Source organism: Homo sapiens, chromosome 10, assembly GCF_000001405.40.
Source record: "Homo sapiens chromosome 10, GRCh38.p14 Primary Assembly".
In the NCBI taxonomy this organism is placed as follows: domain Eukaryota; kingdom Metazoa; phylum Chordata; class Mammalia; order Primates; family Hominidae; genus Homo; species Homo sapiens.
The window spans coordinates 20,296,312-20,311,176 of NC_000010.11; positions in this window are offsets into that span (position 1 = coordinate 20,296,312).

A 14,865-nucleotide genomic window follows, 5' to 3' on the forward strand; every position below is an offset into this window, starting at 1 on the left:
TCTATTTTTTTTTCAAAGTTTTTAACTTCTTTGCCATTGGTTTGAATTTCCTCCTGTAGCTCAGAGTAGTTTGATCATGTGAAGCCTTTTCTCAGCTCGTCAAAGACATTCTCCATCCAGCTTTGTTCCGTTGCTGGTGAGGAGCTGCATTCCTTTGGAGGAGGTGAGGTGCTCTGCTTTTTAGAGTTTCCAGTTTTTCTGCTCTGTTTTTTCCCCATCTTTGTGGCTTTATCTACTTTTGGTCTTTGATGATGGTGACGTACAGAAGGGTTTTTGGTGTGGATGTCCTTTCTGTTTGTTAGTTTTCCTTCTAAGAGACAGGATCCTCAGCTGCAGGTCTGTTGGAGTTTGCTAGAGGTCCACTCCAGACCATGTTTACCTGGGTATCAGCAGCGGTGGCTGTAGAACAGTGGTGGGTGTAGAACAGCGGATCTTGGTGAACTGCAAATGCTGCTGCCTGATGGTTCCTCTGGAAGTTTTGTCTCAGAGGAGTACCCAGCCATGTGAGGTGTCAATCTGCCCCTACTGGGGGGTGCCTCCCAGTTAGGCTGCTCAGGGGTCAAGGACCCACTTGAGGAGGCAGTCTGCCCATTCTTAGATCTCCAGCTGCGTGCTGGGAGAACCACTACTCTCTTCAAAGCTGTCAGACAGGGACATTTAAGTCTGCAGTGGTTACTGCTGTCTTTTTGTTTGTCTGTGCCCTGCTCCCAGAGGTGGAGCCTACAGAGGCAGGCAGGCCTCCTTGAGCTGTGGTGGGCTCCACCCAGTTCAAGCTTCCCGGCTGCTTTGTTTACCTAATGAAGTCAGGGCGATGGCAGGCGCCCCTCCCCCAGCCTCGCTGCCACCTTGCAGTTTGATCTCATAGTGCTGTGCTAGCAATCAGTGAGACTCCATGGGCGTAGGACCCCTCTGAGCCAGGTGCGGGATATAATCTCCTGGTGTGCCATTTTTTAAGCCCGTTGGAAAAGCACAGTATTAAGGTGGGAGTGACCCGATTTTCCAGGTGCTGTCTGTCACCCCTTTCTTTTACTAGGAAGGGGAACTCCCTGACCCCTTGCACTTCACGAGTGAGGCAATGCCTCGCCCTGCTGTGGCTCGTGCATGGTGCGCTGCACCCACTGTCCTGCACCCACTGGCACTCCCTAGTGAGATGAACCCGATACCTCAGATGGAAATGCAGAAATCACTCGTCTTCTGCGTCGCTCACGCTGGGAGCTGTAGACCGGAGCTGTTGCTATTTTGCCATCTTGGGTCCACCCTCCTAAACCCTTTTTTTTTTTTTCTGAGATGGAGTTTTGCTCTTGTTTTCCAGGCTGGAGTGCAATGGCACAATCTTGACTCACTGCAACCTCTACCTCCCAGGTTCAAGTGATTCTCCTGCCCCCCTTTTTCATTTTAAACACCCAAGGCAACCCAGACAACCAACACAGCCTCAGGTGGAGATTAACTTTCCTCCAGATGATGATAATACAAGAAAATGACATATCTCATCAATTTCCTTCTGGTCATTCTAGACATCTTATTAATTAAATCACTTGGAATTTGGGTGGAGGGGTTTGAATTTAAGGTGTGGTTCCTGAAATAGCCTAAAAATTTATTTCCTTTTTTTATATTAGCACTTAACCCATTAATTAGTACTCAGAATTAATGACTTAAAAAATGCTTGTTCAGGAGTGTCTAGGGTTATTACAAAGCTCAGAAAACCTGCAGTCAAGAAAGGAGTTGAAAAGATCAAATAGCTTCCCATTGAGTTGAGAACCGGATGCATGGTGAAGCCTCCACCACGGAGACACTCAAATGTCTGTTAAGGGGAGAACTAGACTTTAGAGGGAATCGGAATGTCAGGATTGACAGGAACGAAAGACAAAATCTCCAAGATTTTAGGCAGTCCACAGTCTACAGCTAGAAGATTTCAAAGGGTGAATGCAAAACTGCCTTTGGATAACTTGAGAGTATATTGAAGTGTTTCAGAGCTCTCTGAGGAGGCAGGTAAACACCTGATTTAGTCATCAGGGAAACTATGAAGATGTCAGTCATAAAGGAAACTGATTGGCTCCCATGACCCTGTCTCTGTGTTTAAAGATCATAGCCCTGCAGGGTCCAAGTCCATTCACCCTGCAATGGAGCTTGGTTTGTGCCTTGGAGATGTAAGGAGCTGGTGGAAGAACAGGAACCAACTAGTTTGTTATATGTTAGGCCTCCCATTTATGGGGAACCAGATTTCATATGTGCACTTCACTACCATAGAGCGTAGAGTAAACACAGGAAGGAGGAGGAGAATGCAGAAATTGAGAAAAGCTAGAGGTGCGGACAGGAAGCTACTGCTTCAGCTGGTGCCTATTTTCCTGCTCCAGGCAGTGGGTATGTTAATAACTGTCATCTACACATCTATTTCTCCAAGTCTAAAGATAGGGCAATTGTAGATTTTGGAAATTTTTAAAATGTGTCAAAGAGAGAAAATCCAATGAGAATCCTATAAGAGTTTGCAACTTCAGGACAGGTAGAAACACTAGCCTCCACCCGGTAATGCACCTGTTATTTTCTGTGAATTGCTATCACTTTCAAGACACACAGAAGTACTTGGTCTCCCAAAGTAAATAAACTTTAGAAATGCCAGCATCTCTTGATAAATGTTAATTGACCCCTTTTTAACGTGTATTATTCTAATGTCTGCAGCAAACTTTACTTAAAGCCTTTGATCGTCTACCAAATATTCCCCTGTCATTTTTTTTTGGTAAACTTTACAAACATTTGGGGGTTGCAGAATCGTGTTCAGCTTTCTTCCCAGAATTTCTTTGTACAATTGCAATTTAGCTTTCTTTCCAAATGGATTCATTGTGGCGTGAGTCTTGATAGAATGTGAAGCAAATTCTCCTCCTGGAATTTGGCTGTAAGCCTAGAGGATGGGCTGCATAAATTATTCTAAATGCCATAGAATCTTGCATGTTGTTTCTTTCTAGACTGTTTTAAATCTGCGTCAGGATGCCTGGAAGTGAGACACTGAACAAGCAAGAGCTCATTGCACAAAAGAGAAATAGTGACTTGCAAAAAAAAAATAAATGAAACATCCTTTTTGTAAAATGTTGTCACTTGGAATTTAATTAAATGTCATCTTCTTGAGGAAATGTATGTTATTTGAGCTAGGCCAGATCCCAGCAGGTTAAACAGCAATAGGGTAAATAAGAAAGGAACAGCCTTGTTAGAGAGAAAAGTTAAAATGAGGTTGTTGAGATCACAGGAGACTTCTCAGTCACATATGAGGCAATAAACTCCAGCAGAAGGGGTGTGTTCCTGGAAAGGGGAAGGAATCCATGTGGATTTTAATTATAATTTTAATTTTATTTTAAGTTCAGGGTGTGCAGGTCTGTTACATAGGTAAACGTGTGCCATGGTGGTTTGCTGAACCTATCAACCCATCACCTTGGTATTAAGCCCAGCACGCATTAGCTATTTTTCCTGATGCTCTCCCTCCCCCATCCTCCTTCAACAGGCCCCAGTGTGTGTCGTTCCCCTCTCTGTGTCTATGTGTTCTCATTGTTCATCTCCCACTTATAAGTGAGAACATGGTGTTTGGTTTCCTGTTCCTGCATTAGTTTGCTGAGGATAATGGCTTCCAGCTCCATCCATGTCCCTGCAAAGGACATGATCTCCTTTCTTTTTATGGCTGCATAGTATTCCATGATGTATATGTACCATGCGGATTTTCTATTGTTTTGCTTTATGACCTGATGTGAAGCTTTATTAAGGCACTGAGATGAGAGTTCATTTACTTCAGATAGACTGCTGTAATCAGATTGATTTCCTTGTCATAAAACCACAACAAATACCTAACCTGGCAGTTGCCATCCAGAGACAGGAAAACACTTAGCGCCCTCTAAAACTGGAAGAAAGGTCCACTGCAAACTACTCTCTGCCTCTCTCATAAGGATCAAAGCAAGACCCCTGGATTATAAGAAGCCAGCCAAAGTGCATCTGCATTCATGGATACATATATCAGTTTCTTCAGAAAAATTCTCTCTCTGCCAATAATACATCAGATCATGTGATATCTGCCCATGTAACAATTATGGAAACAAGGCCAGGCGTCTTGGCTCACACCTATAATCCCAGTACTTTGGGAGGCCGAGGCAGGCGGATCACTTGAGGTCAAGTGTTTGAGACCAGCCTAGCCAACATGATGAAACCCCATCTCTACTAAAATTACAAAAATTAGCCAGGCTTGGTGGTACACACCTGTAATCCCAGCTACTCAGGAGGCTGAAGTAGGAGAATTGCTTGAACCCAGGAGATGGAGTTTGCAGTGAGCCAAGATCACACCACCGCACTCCAGCCTGGGTAGCAGGACGAGACTCTGTCTTAAAAAAAAAAAAAAAAATACAGAAACAAGCTTTGTGACATTGTGCGTGTGACTTCTCACAGCCCAGGCTACTTCATCTATAAAGTAAAGACAAAAATAGTACCTGATTCCTAGAATTATTATGACAAGTAAATGGTCCAAAATATTTAGCTTAGTGTTCTGCCATTAAATTCAAGAACCGTTAGCTATGCAACGATTATTGTTGCCAATGAAAGATGCATTGATTTTTGGCAGCAAGAATGCTGTCTTACTCCTTGAGGAGATAAACTGAAGGCAAAAAAGCTGAGATGAACAATTAACTGGATGAACAGATTGCAAAATAAGCAATTCAAACTAGAAATTGCATAGGAGGAAGACCATTTCCCCTACAGTCTTCTTACTCATTCTCCCTCAAGTCTCATTTCTTTCTAGCATTTATGTCAGTATTATTCATCCCCCATTCTAAAATATAAAAAAGCAAAAAGAAGGGAATTTCAAACATCAAGTGATTAAAAAATTAAAAATTAAATACCAAAACCCAAGTCTGTATTAAGAACAGATAGTGGGTTATGGAATTTAAGGAGGTAACTGCCTTGTATGTTCTTAATTCATTTGTTAATTTATTTATGGTTTTACAGAAAAATCAAATAAGGCTGCTGAGTGTTATTTTGAAAACTACTTTTATGTTTCTGTATCTAATTTCTCTGTTAGCAAAATGAGGAAAATTTTTCTGACATCTCAAAGTAGTTTAAGAGAGAATTCATAAGTATAAAATGTTTTAAGCATATGCGGACTTTATATGGATAGCCTAAGTCACAGATTCTAGCCTCTGAACTTGTTTATCCACAGACTATTTCTGACACCAAATGTGTGGTGGATTTTTCCACCCCCAGCCAATTCTCCAGTTTTCCAAACCACTGGGTTTCCTACCATCCACTCAACTCCACTAACTACCCAGGGTGAGCACAGACCCAGGGGTGAAGAATTAAGTTTCAAAGGACCACCCCCCATTTCAGATACCAAAAGCAAGTCTTGGGCCAACCACATTTCTGGCTAACCAGGTAAAATTTGCAGAACCCCACGACACACTTTTCAGGCTCATTAATTTGCTAGAACAGCTCACAGATCTCAGCGAAACCATTGACTCACTGTCACCAGTTTATTGCAAAGGATGTAACTCAGGAAGAACCAAATGGAAGAGAGGCATAGGGCAAGATATGGGGGAGGGCACAGGGCTTCCATGCCCTCTCTGGGTGCTCCACCCTCCCAGCACCTCCATGTGTTCCCCACCTGGAAGCAGGGATTCTTATGGAGTTCTCATTACAGAGGCATGATTGATTAATCATTGGTCATTGGTGATTGACTCCTTAGCTAGCCCCTCTCCCCTCCTGGAGGTTATGAGGTGGAGCTCAAAGTGCAATCCTCTAATCAGCCCCCATCCTGAAGCTACCTAGGGGCCCAACAAGAATCACTTCTTTAGAACAAAAGATGTTCCTATCGCTTGGGAAATTCCAAGGGATTTAGGAGTTCTGTGTCAGGAACCTGGACAAAGACCAAATATTTATTACTTACTGTGTCACACAACCCTGTGAGTCAGGGATCTTTACCATCCCCCTCTCCTTCTGTGATATGTGCTCTTGCTTATGACAATAGGAATGCACCTGCACCAGGTGTGGTGGGTCACACCTGCAACCCCAGCACTTTGGGATACTGAGGCGGGAGGATTAATTGAGGCCAGGAGTTTGAGGCCAGCCTGTGCAACACAGTGAGGCCCTATCTCTACAGAAAATTATGAATTTAGCTGACTGTGGTGGTGCTCGCCTTTAGCCCCAGCTACTCAGGAGGCTGATGCAGGAGGATCACTTGAGCCCAGACATACCAGACTAACAGACTAAAGTGAACAGTTATTGCACCACTGCACTACAGCCTGGGTGACAAGCAAGACACTGTCTCCAAAAAAAAAAAAAGGTATATGCCCAGATACTCCCATCATTCCTGAAGCAACTCCAAGTAGATGTCTCTTTGTAATGTGATAGTAAACTCACCTGGGAAGAGAAAACAAAACAAATTCATTTATTCAATGCATGTTTGTTGATCACCTTTCAAGATCCAAGTACCATTTCACATGTTGGAAGTAGAGTGATATATTTATGTCACAAATAGTGTTGTTTTGTGCCAGGCACTGGTCTAAGCACTTTACAGATATTAGTTATTGAATTCTCTTATTATCCTTGTGAGGCAGGTGCTCTTACTGTCACCATGTTACAGAAGAGAAAAACATTTACTTAGTGGTTGAGCTACTGATCCATGGCCACACAGCAAGGAAGAAGCAGAGACCAAATAAAAACCTGGAGACTTCACTCTTGGCCACTACTCCAGGCTGTCTTTGGAAAAAAACAGTAAACAAACAAACAAACAAAACCAGCATAAATCCCTGCCCTCAAGAGTTTATATTCTAGTGAGGAGCTACAGACAATCAGTTATCTAAGTAATATCTATGTATACATATAGTAAGTTAGAAAATGAATGCTGTGTAGAAAAACAAAAGAGGGGAAAGATCAGGAATGAGAAGTGGATTTCTCTTTTTAAGTGGGTAATCAGGAAAGGGAACATTTGAGCACTGACCTAAGAGTATTTCAGAAAAAGGGAGCAGCAAGTAGAAAGACCATGCAGAGGAAACCTTCCAGCACTTTCAGGAAGCAGCTAGGATGTCACTGTGGCCGGCGAGGAATGAGTTAAGGAGAGTTCTATACAGATCAGAGAGAAAACGTCTGTGTGATCCTGAGAAAGATGGAAAACCAGTGGGGAGTTCAGAGAAGTCCAGGGAGAAGATCTGACTTCCTAACAAAAAGGATTACTCTGGCTTCTGAGCAGGACAAAGGAAGAAATAGGAGACTAAGTAGGAGGAGGCTGCTAATGTCATCCAATGTCCTATAACAGGGACCTACCATACCAGTCCATGGCTTAGGAACTGAGCCACACAGCAAGAGGTGAGTGGCAGGTGAGCAAACAAAGCTTTATCAGTATTTACAGCCACTCCCCATCGCTCGCATTACCATCTGAGCTCTACCTCCTGTCAGATCTGCAGTGGCATTAGATTCTCATAGGAGAGGAAACCCTATTATGAAATGGGCATGTGAGGGATCTAGGTTGCATGCTCTTTATGAGAATCTAATGCCTGATGATCTGCCACTGTCTCCCATCACTCCCAGATGGGACAATCTAGTTGCAGGAAAACACACTCAGGGCTCCCACTAATTCTACATCATGATGGGTTGTATAATTATATCATTATATATTATGATGCAATAATAATAGAAAGAAAGTACATAATAATGAGCTTGAATAATCCTAAAACCATCCCTCCACCCTGGTCTGTGGAAAAATTATCTTCCACAAGACTGGTCCCTGGTGCAAAAAAGGTTGGGGACTGCCATCTTATAAGATGTAAAGGTTCTTGATGGTAGGAGACACAACACAATGACAACATGACAGAAGGCAGAACTCTCTGCCACTTACAGCTCACAAGCAGAGGAGGCTGCCAGGCAGGGCCACATGGGGCTGCACCTCAGAGAAAGCAACAGCAAGCTGACAATGGAGGGGATAGTTTACCTGTGCCAAGTCAGGTAAGAATAGCTAGGGTTCTGGGCTCACTGTGGATGGGCCAGTTTGAATATGGTTGAGGGCTCTGCAACATAGAGGCTGCTCCTAGTTGTCAGGCAAGTGGCCCAGGGGCAATTAGGGTGAATGTATACTGGTTTGAGTGTGAGCCCAGGCAGGAAAGTGGTTTCAGCATAGACTTAATTGGCTACTCAAGAAGGGAACAGACCAGCCTCCAGCGAGGACCTCAAAACTTGGTTAAGATGTAAAACAAAAACATAAATAAACTACGTGTATTACAATGAAGTAATGAAGATGGTGAGAATTGGTCCGGTGGTGGTTCTATTTGAAGGAAGAGCCAACACTGTTTTCTGATAGGTTAGATATGGGGTGTGTGAGAAAGAGGAGTCCACAGGATCTCCGAGTTGAAGGCCTGAGTCTGGATGGCAGTTGCCACTAATGAAGATGAACAAGACCACAAAATGAACAAGTTTGTAAGGAAAAGTTAGAAGTTTAGTTTAGAACATTCGGTGTTTGAAATGTCTTTTTTAAAAATACAAGATATTTAAGTAAACTTGTTGAGCAGAAAATAAATTTATGGCTCTGAAGTTCAAAAGAGATGTCTGGACTGGAGATATAAATTTGGGAGTGTTTGACATAAATATGGTATCTAAAGCCATGGGACCCATTGAGATCATCCAAGAAGTGAAGGTAGATAAAGAAAAGTATGTGGCCTATTGAGTGCATTTTGGGGCAGTCCAACATGAAGAAGTTGAGCCAAGGAGGAAGAAACAGTAGAAGGAAAGGAAAAGTGGTGGAGTAGAGGGTTTAGGATCTGAGTGAGCAAAGTGTTTCAAGGATATAGAAATGTTCAGACTCACTGACAACCAAATAGGTATATTGAAAATGGCAATAAGGTACTCTTGACCACCAAATTAGGAAGTCATTTACAAAACAGACACTTCATGTTGTCAAGGGTGCCATGCAGCAGTTGTACCAATTTACACCACAATTAGGAAAAAAACTGGGTTGAACTTTCTGGAAAGCAAGTTAACTTTATATAAAAGGAATCTCTATACAAAGTCTGCACACTGACATTCAGCGGTTCCTCTTCTAGGAGTCTACCCTGAAGAAATAAGCAGAAACTGGACAAAGTCTTATACAAACATTTGTTACATAAACGTTTAACAAAGATTTGTTACATAAAAAATCATTCCAAAGCTATTCGTACTAACAAACAACTAAGAAAAAAATTCAATTTTGAACAAGGAAAATTATTCAATAAATTATGAGCCTAATACTAAGAGGATTGTGTAGCGCAGAAAAATCATGGTTCAAAAGTATATTTAATGACCTGTAAAAGTCCTCATGATGCTACATTAATTGAGGAAAACAAGGTAATGCTTTTTCTTTCTCACAGTTACAACAAAACTAATAATTACCACTTATTAGACAGGTACTATGTGCAAAGGCACTGTGCTAATCATTTATATGTGTTATTTTTAATTCTGTATTATAGGTATGATGAGAAGGCAAAGGCTCAGAAGGTTGTTTTGATCATATTGTATTTGATATTAACACATATGGGATCTGAAGGAAACACACAACACACACACAGGGAAATCTGATGGCCTCTCCTAAAAACTCGTATGTTCCTAAAGAAGTGTTCACGACCTACTGTGGAAATATAATACAAATTGTGAGTTCATGATTTTTTTTTCTAAAGGGGGATTCTAAGAATGACAACAAAACATAGAAGTAAGCACTGATTTCTTCCTGTAGAATTCATTTTCTCTTAATTTCATAATTCTAACCCCTCACCTATAAAACTAAGGATCACTATAGAAACCCCTAGCACTGCCAGATAAAGTTGATGCCTGAACAACTTGGGGATCAAGGGCACTGACGTCCTCAAAGTTGATAATCTGCTAATAACTTTTGATTTCCCACAACTTAACTACTAATAACCTACTGTTGTTCAGAAGCCTTGCCAATAACATTAACAGCTCGTTAACACATAAACTAGTATCTACATATATTTTAATCCACTCTGACATACCTACATTTTTCCTAAATTTTTCTATATTTCTAGACTGTGTGTCTTGTCTGCCAGCTTCTTTCAAATGTAACAAATCTCTAAAGAAATGTTCCAATATATTTATTGAAAAAAATCCACGTACAAGTGGACCCACACAGTTCAAGCCCTTGTTGTTCAAGGGCCAACTGTATTTTTTTATTTCTTCAGCAGTGGAGTTAGTTTGCTGTGAGGCAAAATGCTTTTGGAAAATGTATTTTGAAGATGAACAGTGCTTGCCTTTTCAACACAATATTCTCCCCCTTCATTCTGTAACACATATTTTTCAAACAGGTTCTTAAGGAATGAAAATTAATGTGCTCAGCATTCTTATGTATTCATTAATGCATTTCATGATGACGTACTGTGTGAAGACACTCTGCTAGTTCTTTGGGATGTGGTTGGAGGACACTTGTGGAGATTGCACTGTAACCTAAGTCATACGTAGTTTCTGTTGCAGACAAGCTCACTGTCTGGAGGAGAAGACAAACACATCACACGTACATGCAATACAGTTAACAAAACGGCATTCACTGTTTCCTGATGGTTATCAGCAAAGTAAAAGAGAAAATATTCTAAGCAGAAAGCAGCAGGATCAAAAAATGGAATCGTGGCAGCCCTAGAGTGGGCTGGATATAGCAAGTAGTTCAGCATGACAGGAATGGAGCTATGCATAGGGCTAACATAACAGTTAAGGTAAAGATTATTAAACTCGGCTGGGTGAGCTGGCTCACTCCTGTAATCCCAGCACTTTGGGAGGCTAAGGCGGGCGGATCTCAAGGTCAGGAGTTCAAGACCAGCCTGGCCAACATGGTAAAATTCCATCTCGACTAAAGATACAAAAAAATTAGCCAGGCGTGGTGGCACACACCTGTAATCCCAGGTACTTGGGAGGCTGAGGCAGCAGAATTGCTTGAACCGGGAGGCGGAGGTTGCCATGAGCTGAGATCGTGCCACGGGACTCCAGTCTGGGTGACAGAGTGAGTCTGTCTCAAAAAATAAATAAAAAAATAAGATTATTAAACTCTTTTTATGCCTGGAAACTAGGAAAGCACTAAAAGCTTTTATAAGGAAAAAATCATCAAAGTTCCATTTTAGTTGCATGCCTATGACAGTCATGTTCAGCAGGCAGCATAGAACACAGGAAACTTAGTTCAGTGTTCAGGAGCACAGATTGCTTGGATTCAAGTACTAAAGCTGTATGACTTCAGAAGTTGCTTACTTCTTTGTGCCTCAGTTTCCTCATTTAGAAGATGAGAGCTGATGTTAATAACGCATACCTCATAATATCAGTATGAGGATTAAATCTGAAATAGACATAGTGCTTAGAACAGAGACAGCCGTATAGAATGCACTCAATAAAAGTTAGCTATCATTACAAGTATTTAGAAATCTGTAGCAGTTAGCTATTGTTACATAACAAATCATTCCAAAACTTGATGGCTTAAAGCAATCATTTATTTGTTCATGATTCTTCAGGTCAGCAATTAAGTCTGGGCTCAGCTGGGCAGTTTTTCTGCTCTAGCCAGGCTAGGTTTGTTTGCATGCCTGAAGTCAGCTGTGTACTCAGCTGTTCTACACATTCTTCCAACTTCCAGCAGGCTGGCCAAGTCTTGTTTTCATGGCAGTGGCAGAGTTTTTTTTTTTTTTTTTTTTTTGAGACGGAGTCTCCCTCTGTCGCCCAGGCTGGAGTGCAGTGGCGCGATCTCGGCTCACTGCAAGCTCCGCCTCCCGGGTTCACGCCATTCTCCTGCCTCAGCCTCCCGAGTAGCTGGGACTACAGGCGCCCGCTACCACGCCCGGCTAATTTTTTGTATTTTTAGTAGAGACGGGGTTTCACCGTGTTAGCCAGGATGGTCTCGATCTCCTGACCTCGTGATCCGCCCGCCTCGGCCTCCCAAAGTGCTGGGATTACAGGCGTGAGCCACCGCGCCTGGCCCAGAGTTTTAACAGGAAGAATTTAAGACCAAGAAGGTTTAAAGATTTAGCTTGGAAATTACACACCATCATTTCTGCCACATCCTGTGGGCCAAAGCAAGTTACAAAACCAGGCAGATTCAAAGAGAGGAAAAGCAGACTTTACCATTTGATGGAAGGAGCAGCCAAGCCATGCTACAAAAAACAAGGAGACAGGGAAAAGTAAAGGATTGTAGCCATTTTAGCAATCTACCACAAGGTCTGAAGCTCAGGATTAAGACTGAGATTGGTGATACTGATTCAGCAGTCATCAGCTATAAATAAACGATAGTAAAATCTTGAAGCGGATAAGCTCATTAAGAGAGCTCTTCTCATCATGAGAAAGAAGAAAAGAGGATTCAAGGCAAAACTCTTATAACATCAATTGTTAAGAATGGGCAGAGGAACAGAGAGCACAATGGGCCCTGAGCGAGGTTGAACAAAAAAAAAATGGAGAAGGTAAGCAGCCACTGCGATGAGAATAATGAGAATTTAAGAAGTAATCTTTGGATTTAGCAGCAGCATTAGTGGGTTTGCCCATGGTGGAAGTCAGCATTTCGTGAATTGAAGAATGCATAGGAAATGAGCAGACCTGACTGGAAACAGTTTGGTGATATCAAGGAGGTGAAAGATACCATTGTATCTGAAGGAAGATGTGGAGTCCAGGAAGGGATTTTTGTTTATGTGTTTCTTTTCGTTATTTTTTTTAGGATGAGGGTCATTTTAGCTTTTAAATTGTAATTAATATGGAGTGAGGAGAGAGTAAATGTTTAAAACTTCAGGAAAGTAGAAATAAGCGAGCCAGTGAAGGCAGAAGGAAATGTGATAGAATTAAGGAAAATATGAACAAGTATAGAAATAAGTTTGTTGGTTTTGTGGCAGTGGCAGGAGGCTTGTGGAGTCCTCATTGGATGGACCCTACTTCCTCTGAGAAGCTGAGGGTGACAGCATGTTCTAAACCTTAGAGGGAATGTGGCTCAGTGGGAGGTTTCCAGGACAAGGTTGATGAAGCTGTGGTGAAAACAGGAGAGGATTTAGGGAATAATCAATATCTGTCAGATATCATGGCAGGGTCAGGCGACACTGGGTCCCAGGATGTGGAGAGGTCCCAGTATGCATGACTGAGGAATTTTTTCCCCCAGAAGTAATAAACCAAACCAAAGTATTGATACTGACAAGATAGAGAATTGGACTGCCCCAGAGTTGGGATTATTTTCCCCCCTGGTAGATGGAACAGAAAACAAAATGGGCAAGCATAATTGAAGTGACAGGTAAACTGAGCTAGAATGGAAAAAAAAGTAAAGACAGCAGGGTATTGATGAGAAGAAAGCAGAAGAACATCAAGGAGCTGAATAGTCTGTAAGATCAAGAATAAATGCAGTGACAGTGACTAAATGATGGAACTAGAAGAGTGTGTCACAGTCAGGAAGAAGAATGTATGAAGTTAACTTTTCAAGGTGAAGGCATCTCAGGTTATAACAAGACCCAGGGTGGGGCTGTGACAAAGTTGAAATAGGTGGACATTTACTAAAGGTGGGAAGGTCAAGACAAAGAGACTCACACACTGAAAGGGTCACCATGCCCTGAAGTCACAAGACAATAGTGGTGTTGAGGAGAAAAGAGGCACATGAATGAATCTTGTGCCAAAGTCTTCAGTGTGTTGGCGATGGCAGTGGGTTTGCACTGGGAGCTTAACAGCTAATCAGTAGATAACAGTGGGAAAGTTATCAGAATCAAAATGGAGTCACCAGTGTTAAGAAAATTCTGTCAAATAGAGCTAGGGAAGGCCAGAAAGAAAGGGTTCCCAGGCTTGTGTACTTGATAACAAAAACAATCACAAAAGACTGCAAAAACCACAATCTCGTGCCAAGGCCATCACAGCCTTTCACAAAACTCACTTCTGCAAGGACATCTGCCCAGCAATTGCCTGTCCAACCTTGGGACTGGCGTCATCCTTGTTATTAATCTTAGTAGCCAAGGATCATTATTTCAAAACACACAGCTTATGCACATAGATTGCTACGGTATGTGTATTCCCATTGCAATGCTCTATTCCCAGATAAACATCATTTTCTTTTAGAGAGCCTCTCTTTGTTTATTATTTAGATTGACAATAGCAGCGAGCATGGATAGAGGGTGGTAGAACTGGCTATGTGATGCTATCAAGAAACAGGGTTGAGCTAGGTGTGGTGGTGCATGCCTGTAGTCCCAGCTACTTGGAAGTCTCAGGTGGGAGGATCACTTGAGCCTAGGAATTTGAGGCCAGCCTGTGCAAAATAGAGAGACCCTGTCTTTAAAAAAAGAAAGAAACAGTATTTATGAGAGAATTAATCCCCTCTCTCATTAAAAAATTTATAAATGAACAGACTTAAACGTGGCAGGGGACATGCCTATCAATTTGGTAAATAATAAAAGACTAATGTTCATTTTGGGTGCAGGTGTGAGAAAATGGGCACACTGACTATGCTGGTGGGCATAGATCTTGTTATAATTTTTCATTCATCACATAATTATTTATTTACGAAGCACCATTAGAAACCTAGATATTTACTTACTCTGAATTAGTACAGAGAAAATTCACTTTGATGTAAAACTTCTAAATCTGGCTTTAAAAGGTTCAAACCCTAGAATTGGTCCAGTTTTGTACAGTTGCTGTATTTGTCCATTATCACACTGCTATTACAAAATGCCTGAGACTGGGTAATTTATAAAGGGAAGAGGTTTAATTGACTCACAGTTCTGCAGGCTTTACAGGAAGCATGGCTAGGAGGCCTCAGGAAACTTATACTCATGGCAGAAGTTGAAGGGGAAGCAAAGCACATCTTTCATGGTGGCAGATGAGAGAGAGGAGAGAGTGAACAAGGAAGTGCCACACTTTAAAGTAATCAGCTCTCTTGAG